Source organism: Homo sapiens, chromosome 21 (genome assembly GCF_000001405.40).
Source record: "Homo sapiens chromosome 21, GRCh38.p14 Primary Assembly".
Taxonomy (NCBI): domain Eukaryota; kingdom Metazoa; phylum Chordata; class Mammalia; order Primates; family Hominidae; genus Homo; species Homo sapiens.
In genome coordinates, this window is record NC_000021.9 from 34,394,220 (window position 1) to 34,402,817 (window position 8,598).

The 8,598-nt window shown below is 46.1% G+C and overlaps 1 protein-coding gene across 1 annotated transcript; it reads right to left on the reverse strand.

Moving 5' to 3' along the window:
* Positions 1-5,892: 5,892 nt before the first annotated feature.
* Positions 5,893-6,853, reverse strand: C21orf140 (chromosome 21 open reading frame 140). Its single transcript, NM_001282537.2, has one exon. The coding sequence runs from the start codon at positions 6,851-6,853 to the stop codon at positions 6,098-6,100; it is 756 nt and encodes a 251-aa protein (NP_001269466.1). The 3' UTR covers positions 5,893-6,097.
* Between the last annotated feature and the right edge of the window lie 1,745 nt (positions 6,854-8,598).

An 8,598-nucleotide genomic window follows, 5' to 3' on the forward strand; every position in this document is an offset into this window, starting at 1 on the left:
TTGGCTGCCTGGAATACTAATGCAATCGCTTGTTCCGCAGCCACTTTGGACTAAGAGGTGAGTTTGAGACCTGAACCAAATCTAGGACAATGGAGTAAAAAGATAGGATCTTGGGCTCTCAGTGACCATGGATCCATCATTTCACCCCTGAACTGACACCTTGACACTTCTTATTTTTGGTGGTGGTGGTGGGGTAGCTTCTATTTTGTTGGCATCTCTGTGGTCTATTCATAGTTCACCTGTTTTAGCTGACACATGGAGCCAGTTAGAGATGGGCGCAAGGGCTTCCTGATATGAAGACTTGGATTCTGGTCCTGACCCTCCTGTTACTACTGTTACGTACGTGGCTAGGTGAGTCGGTCACCACCCTAGCCTGGCCTTTGTAAAATGAGCTCAATGATCACTGCCCTCCCTACTGTACAGTGTTTGTCTGAACTGAATGAGGTCAAGCATGTAAAGATGGTTTGCATGTGGCAGGACAATCACAAATGGAAGGAGTGTATACTACCTCGGTGGGCAACTCAGCCACCAGTTGGCCAGGCAGGGGCTCCATCCAACCCAATTGGATTGAGCCAATGGCCAACGAACCCCATTTGCTAATTTACCTCTTAGGTCCTTGTAGGGGCAGCACCATTTCCTAATGCACCCCCACCTTGAAAGCCACCTTGATCCGTGGGAGGGAGAGGGGCTGTGGGTATTAGTGATGGGGAAGGCCAGAGAGGCTGGGATGTTCCATCAGCCAACCACTCAGAAGGAGAATAGTGCCACCAACATCAGGAGCTCACTTCTAGTGGACATGTCTAGAGATATGTGGCTCAGCCCTGCGTTGCTGCGTGTGGTCACCCGCTCTTAACTAAATACAGTGCTCTAAATATGGCTGCTCCCAAAGAGACTGTGGGCTGTCCTCACCAGCCATCCTGTCCCACCCCCACCAGAAGAAACCTCTTCTTATTATTAATTCCCTAACCGATTGCAGATATTGCAGATGGTCTTAAAGGAAATGCCAGAGAACAAAGTTTCCTCTGATCAAAGTATCTTAAGATGTGTCCACCCTCATTAGATGCCAGCGATAAAAAGGAACAAAAATTTTTCTCAAAGAGTGAAAAGGAAATGAGATCAGTGATGGCAGGTCTAATTGTGGACATGTTTGCTTCGACCTTACCATGGACCACTCACTCAGTGGGTGCCAGACACAATGCAGTGGCTTGGCGCAGGTTATGTGATTTTTTTTTTTTTTTTGAGATGGAGTCTTGCCCTGTCACCCAGTCTGGAGTGCAGTGGCATGATCTCGGCTCACTGCAACCTCCGCCTCCCAGGTTCAAGCGATTCTTCTGCCTCAGCCTCCTGAGTAGCTGGGATTACAGGCATGTGCCACCATGCCAGGCTAATTTTTGTATTTTTAGTAGAGATGGGTTTTTGCCATGTTGGCCAGGCTGGTCTCGAACTCCCAACCTCAAATGATCCGCCCACCTTGGCCTCCTAAAGTGTTGGGATTACAGGCATGAGCCACTGCTCCTGGCCAGGTTATGTGATTTTAAAGTCCCACTGTATTTTATTAAGGAGTTGATTGAGCCTCAAGGAAGTAAAGCAACTTATCCAGAACATATAGCTACGAAGCTAGAAACTCAAGATTCCAACTAGGTCCATCCAATTCCAAAAGCCCGGTGAACTTTCTGTTACTTTCTATGGGAAGTTTTCAGGTTTAGTATAAAGCAACATTTCTTAATTATGAATACAATCTTATGTAACCAAATTGCACATTAAAGGGTATTCCTTTTGATCCTTCTTTCCTCTTTTCTAATAATTTTTACAAGGCCTCAAAGGAATAGAACTCTAAATCTGTTTTATTAAATTGCTTTAGTTTTCAAACAAAAATAGCTCCTGTTGGTTTATCTTTAGCTGATAACCTAAAAACATTCCTTTTTTATCGCTGTAAAATAATGTGTCTTTAAAGGATATTCTGTCTCCTCTTTAATTTTATGTTGAAATAAAATTTTTTGGTGTCCAGGGGAGTTGGCCATTTTAGCGGCTGGTGTCTCATCTGAGGTCAGAGGTGAGTCTTGCGACATAGAAATGATGGGGGTGAAAAAGGAAAAGCTCAGCTTCAATAACTAAGCTAAGCACGGTGGTGAGGAGCATGGGCTTCAGAATCTCTTGGCCCCAGTGCCTTGCCAGTGCCTCAGTTTCCTCATCTGTAAAACAACTGACAGGATTAAGAGAATTAAATTATAATAGCTATGCGTTAGTGGCATCATGAAGAATGGCTCTAAGCATGAATTCTGGGTTGAATCTCTCTGGGCCTCAGTTTTCCACATTTATTTATTTATTTATTTATTTATTTATTTATTTTGAGAGGGAGTCTTGCTCTGTCACCCAGGCTGGAGTGCAGTGGCACAATCTCGGCTCACTGCAACCTCCACCTCCAGGATTCCAGTGATTCTGCTGCCTCAGCCCCCTGAGTAGCTGAGATTACAAGTGCCCGCCATCACACCTGTCTAATTTTCGTATTTTAGTAGAGATGGGGTTTCACCATGTTGGTTGGGCTGGTCTCGAACCCCTTACCTCAAATGATCCGCCCACCTCGGCCCCCCAAAGTTCTGGGATTACAGGAGTGAGCCACGGTGCCCAGCACGTGTAGCTGTTGGTGCCTATTATTCCAGAACCGCAGAGGCATGGAATAAACGGGATGTAGGGCAAAACCCACTCATCTCCCAAAACTCAGGCCACCCACACGTGGGCCTGCACAATGACAGCACACTGAAGTGACCAAGGAAGTTTGAGTACCATGGTTTGCTCTCAAGGAACTTAAATCCTAAAACGTACATGAAATCCTGAGGGAAAAAGACCTCACAAATATACTACACAATAGGAGTTATTTCACCAGGTTAATTGCCAATGAGAAATGCAATGTTTCTATTGGCAGAGCAAGACTTCCTTTAGCACCTGTGGCTGGCTGAATAGTGGCCACCAAAGATATCAAGGTCCTATTCCCTGGAACCTATGAATGTCGCTTTAGATGGAAAAAGTTCTGCCTATGTGACCAAGTTAAGGATTTTGAGATGTGAAGATGGTTTTAGATTACTCAGGTGGGCCCTGAATGCAATCTCAGGTGTCCTTGTAAGAGGGAGGCAGAGGGAGATTTGACACAGGATGAGAAAGTGGTGTGGCCACAAGCCCAGGAATGCCGGTGGCCACCAGAAGCTGGAAGAGGCAAGAAACAGGTCCTCCCTGGAGCCTCTGGAGAGAGTGCTGCCCTGCCAACAGCTTGCCTTTGGCTGTCTTCTCTGTCCTGTCCTGTCCTATCCTTTTTCTTTTCTTTCTCTCTCTTTTTTTTTGTTTTTTTGGAGATGGAGTCTTGCTCTGTTGCCCGGGCAGGAATGTGATGGTGTGATCTCGGTTCACTACAACCTCTGCCTCCCAGGTTCAAGTGATTCTCCTTCCTCAGCCACCCAAGAGGTGGAATTACAGGCGCCCACCACCATGCCCAGCAAATTTTTGTATTTTTAGTAGAGATGGAGTTTCACCATGTTGGCCAGGCTGGTCTCCAACTCCTGACCTCAAGTGCTCCTCCGACCTCAGGCTCCCAAAGTGCTGGGATTACAGGCATGAGCCACTGAGCCACCGTGCCTGGCCTCTTTCCCTTCCCGTCCCCCTTCCTCTTTCCCTTCCCTTTCCCTCCCCTGCCCCCTTCCCCCCGCCCCCTCCCTCTCCCCTGCCCCCTCCCCCTCCCTCTCCCCTCTCCTCCCTCCCCTCTTTCCTTCCTCCCTCCCTTCCCTCCCTCCCTTCCTTCCTTCTCTCTTTCTTTCTTCTTTCTTTCTCTCTCTCTCTCCCCTCCCTCTCCTCCTTAGCCCCCCTCCTTTCTCCCTTCTCTCTCTTTCTTTTTGAGACAGGGTCTCACTCTATCACCCAGGCTGGCATGCAGTGGTGCGATCAGAGCTCACTGTAGCCTCAAGCTCCTAGGCTCAAGCGGTCCTCCTGCCTCAGCCTCCCGAGTAGCTGCAACCACAGCCACTACATCTGGCTTAATTTCTGTTGTTTTAAGCCACCAAGCCTGTGGTAATTTGTTTCAACAGCCACAACAAATTAATATAGCACTGTTGACTGTCAAGTGAGGCCTGCAACAGTGGAAACTTTATAGTTCTGAGTGGTCAGCTGTTTGAGGTGTGATTAATCTCCAGGAAAAATGTTACCAGGATTCCCTTTGTAACCATGACAAAATGCTGAGAAGTGGTGGACACTTAGTTGCTGAAAAGCACTGAACGTTCGCTTTCATCTGACAAAGTCTTTCTGAATAATACAGGGAGGTTCGGGAGGGAAAGAAGGCAAGCAAACGATGGGATGCTTTCTGCACGTGGCTGTCAGGAAATTCTGGGTAGAAATTCTTTCTTTCTCCTTTTCTTTTCTTTTTGAGACAGAGTCTGACTCTGTTACCCAGGTTGGAGCGCAGTGATACAATCTCTGCTCAATACAACCTCCGCCTCCCAGGGCTCAAGTGATTCTCCCACCTCAGCCTCCCTAGCAGCTGGGAACATAGGTGTGCGCCACCATGCCCAGCGAATTTTGGTATTTTTTGTAGAGACGAGGTTTCACCATGTTGCTGGCCTCGAACTTCTGAGCTCAAGCAATCCTTTCACCTTGGCCTTCCAAATTGCTCGTACAGGCATAAGCCACTGTGCCCAGTCCAGAAATGTTCATAAATTGTTTTTTTTCATAGACCTTATTTTTTAGAGCCATTTTTTAGATTCATGCAGAATTGAGTGAATTGAGTGGGTGCCCCACCACCCACCACCGCTACCAACATCCCATGTAAGTGTACAAAATTTTTTTTTTCTTTTACAGGCAGGGTTTCACTTTGTCACCCAGGCTGGAGTGTAGTGGACAACCATAGCTCACTGTAGTCTCAAACTTCTGGCTCAAGTGATCCTCCTCCCTCAGCCTCCCAAGTAGCTAGGACTATAGATGTATGCCACTCAGCCCAGCTATTTTTAAATATTTTTGTAGAGATGAGGTCTTGCTGTGTTTCCCAGGCTGGTCTTGAACTCGTGACCTCAAGCAGTCCTCCTGCCTCGGCCTCCCAAAGTGCTGGGATTACAGGTGTGAGCCATTGTGCCCAGCCATAAATTATTCTTTTTGCACTCCTCGGAATGATTACCTCTGAAATGACTGTCTGAATGTACATAACCAACAGTGAATTTTATGATATGTTTAATAGGGGTAGTCTTTTTCTATAAAAATGAAAAAGACAACCACAGATTCTTACAACAGACATCGGCAGCAGCCCCAAACCTAAATAGGGAGGTGTTGTCCCAGCTGCAAGTGGCTCAGCTACAGGGTCTCGAGATGAAACTCCACGGCACAGTCTAATGACCTGCTGGAATTCCTGGAGTTGGCGGGGAGATTGGCTGGATAAGTGGTCTCTGCAGACCCCCATGCGTGCCACCCCTTTGCCCACCATAGCCCACTTGAACCCACCACTGTCATAACTTTCCAGGTCCTAACTGGGACCACCTACTCCCCTTGGAGGGTCCGGATGGAGTTTCCCCTCTGCGGCTGCCTCTCACTCATCCTCCACCACTTTGCCGACAAGGAAGGAAGGACAATCGGGAGGAGGGAGTCTTGCTTGGCGACCATCTGGACAATATCTCGCCCATGGCAAGCTGGATCCCTGTGGATTACTTTGGTGGGTGGAAACTTGGCACACTATTTAATTTGGGCTTTTTGGGGGATGACTGCACACTGGTTCTCTTTTTTTCTCAGACCTAAATTTCGACCACTCAACTTTCAGCCTGCTCACCCCTGCTTATTGCCATCCACCTTTGGGCTGGGTTAGACCTAATCCTCCCCTTGACAAAGCCCTCAAAGTAGCCTTCACAAGATAAGAGTCGAGACCCCTAACTTACCAACAAATTTTAATGAAACTTCTAGTAAACTCAAAGCGCTTTGCCAACATCCTTAGGAGCAACCCAGTTCTCGCAGCACCCCATGTGAGGTCGCTGTTGAAGTATCTTTGGCTGCAGTGGTGTGGAATTCATCTCAACAGAGTTGACGGTAAAGACCAGACATGTAGCAGCCTCACTGCTTGTTGGAGGAACCACCCTTAAGAAAATTTCCCAAGATAGTAGTTTTCCCATCTCCGTACTTTGCTAGTTAATGTTCTCCACTTGCTTGCGTTTATCCTTTCAATTCCTTTGCTAATTAAATTGCTGAAAAGTATACATTGGTAAGAATAGCCACTGTCAATGGACTGCAAACAAAACTCGTTTCTGTTATTGATGATAAACCATTTCAGAGAAGACCAGGCTGAGTCTAAAGGGTTCAGATAATTACAAGGGGAAGGCAGAGAGAGTAGTTCATGGCCACAGGACTTGGCCACCTCTGGGCAACACATAATGCTTGCTAAGCTAATGACTGTAGGGATATAGAACTGGCCCTCAGCCTCTCTGTCTTCCTTTGGCCTCTGCTCTTCCTGCTGCCTTCTCTCTTTGACCACGATGACACACTTTCCATAGGCCTTCCTCACCACATCACAGAACTCAGAGAAGAGGCTGTCTTCTTGTTTGATACACAGCTCGTCTCTTAGGAACACCCGATATTTCCAAGGCACCCATCCTTGACTACCCGCAGCATGCACAATACACCAAGTTGGGGTTTGTATGAAATATCCATCACTAATATCTTCCCCAGTTACGAGACTTTCTGGGATATTGGTTTCCCCAAAATATACGGTCTTAAATCCATCATATTGCAGTGTTCTCAGGGTTTTCAGATATTGGAGGCATTGCTTCCTCTTGATGCCATCAAATTGACTTCTGATAATGACATTTCTTAAAAGAGGGCTTGCAAAGCGAGGCATGGTGGCTTCTCAAGTGTTTTTAAAAGCTTGCACATCTGCATCTGGGGAGAGATGGCAAGTGGGGGATGATGACCTCATAAAGGGCTTTCTTACAGTGGTGCCAGTCCCACACATACACTTCAGATTTCAAGCATCATGGAATAAATACTCAGAACAACTCCCTGCTGACCCATAAAATATGGGAATTGCAGATGCTACCCATAAAAATGCTACTTTGACATCACTTCTGCAATAGGTCTGAGACAGAGGTTGGCAATCTTTTAATAGTAATGAGCCTACCCATTTGGCTTAAGATGGGGAGAAATGTTTACATTCATTCATCCATTTCAAAAATATGTACTGATCACCTGCTGTACACCAGGCATTGTGCCAGGCACCAGGGGTATAGTCATGACACACCCAGGGAGTCCTGGACTTACGTGTTGTGTGTCTGTGTATGCATAGAATTTGTGCCAGTTGCCTTCCCATTTGCACAACTAAGAGTGATTTTTTCCAGGTGGCAGAAGGAAGGTATGGCAAATTGCAAAAGAAAGTCAGTCTGCACACCTAGCTTCCACTGGCGCTTGCAGGTCTTTTTTTTTTTTTTTTTTTTTTTTTTTTTCTGAGAGGGAGTCTCTCTCTGTTGCCCAGGCTGGAGTGCAGTGGCACGATCTCGGCTCACTGCAACTTCCGCCTCCCGGGTTCAAGTGATTCTCCTGCCTCAGCCTCCCGAGTAGCTGGGACTACAGGCACCTTCCACCATGGCCGGCTAATTATTTGTATTTTTAGTAGAGATGGGGTTTCACCGTGTTAGTCAGGATGGTCTCGATCTCCTGACCTTGTGATCCGCCCGCCTCGGCCTCCCAAAGTGCTGGGATTACAGATGTGAGCCACTGCGCCCACCCGGAGCTTGCAGTTATTGAACTAATTCAATACCTCATCTTGAAAGCACTTTTAATTTTATATACTCAGGCAAAATGACAGTTTGCTTCAAACTCTAACCATCTCTTCCTTTGTATTTTCTTGCCTCTTTAATCAGAGCTAAAGACATTTCATAAAATGGGCATGAAGGATTCCTTCAAATGAAGACGTGGACAAAATGATTGGTCAGGTCCTTTGCTCTACTGTTGAATGGAGGAGGATTTTTTTTTTTTTTCCCTCACACAGGGGTTTTCTTGGAGCTCAAGTTTGGATGACCCCAGACAGTAAGATAATCTCATCATGGTAAAGTTAATATGAAATATGTGGTCTCCAAACAGCCTCTCCCAGAGGCCAGGATCAGCAGGTTTGAGTGGATAATTGGCTTGTGGTCATTTTCTCATAGGATTTTTCTTTTAGTAGTGGAAACTGTTTTTCAAATCAAATTTGGATGCCAACTATGTGGAACAGAAGTGTGGCTGCTCTGGTGGAAGTGGCAATGGTAGTCCTAGAGTCTCCCTGTCAGCCACACCCTTTGTCTCCCCCTACCCAAGGGACCCTGTGGCCTGGAACCGCAGTGTGAAATGCTATATAGTGCAATGAAGTCAATTCGAAGACAAGAGTTCTTTGCCTTTCTCATCTAATTTTTAGTTATGGATATGAGACGCTTGTTCAGAAGTATGGAAAAGTATATATAATATGTTATCTTTTAGATGTGGGTGTAAATATGCTTATGTATGCAATATGCTTATATTTTAACGCATAAACAACATGAATAAAGCAAACACTCTAGACTTCTCCAAATGTATCTTGTTTTACAGTTTTCATTTTGGAAAATGTCAACATTT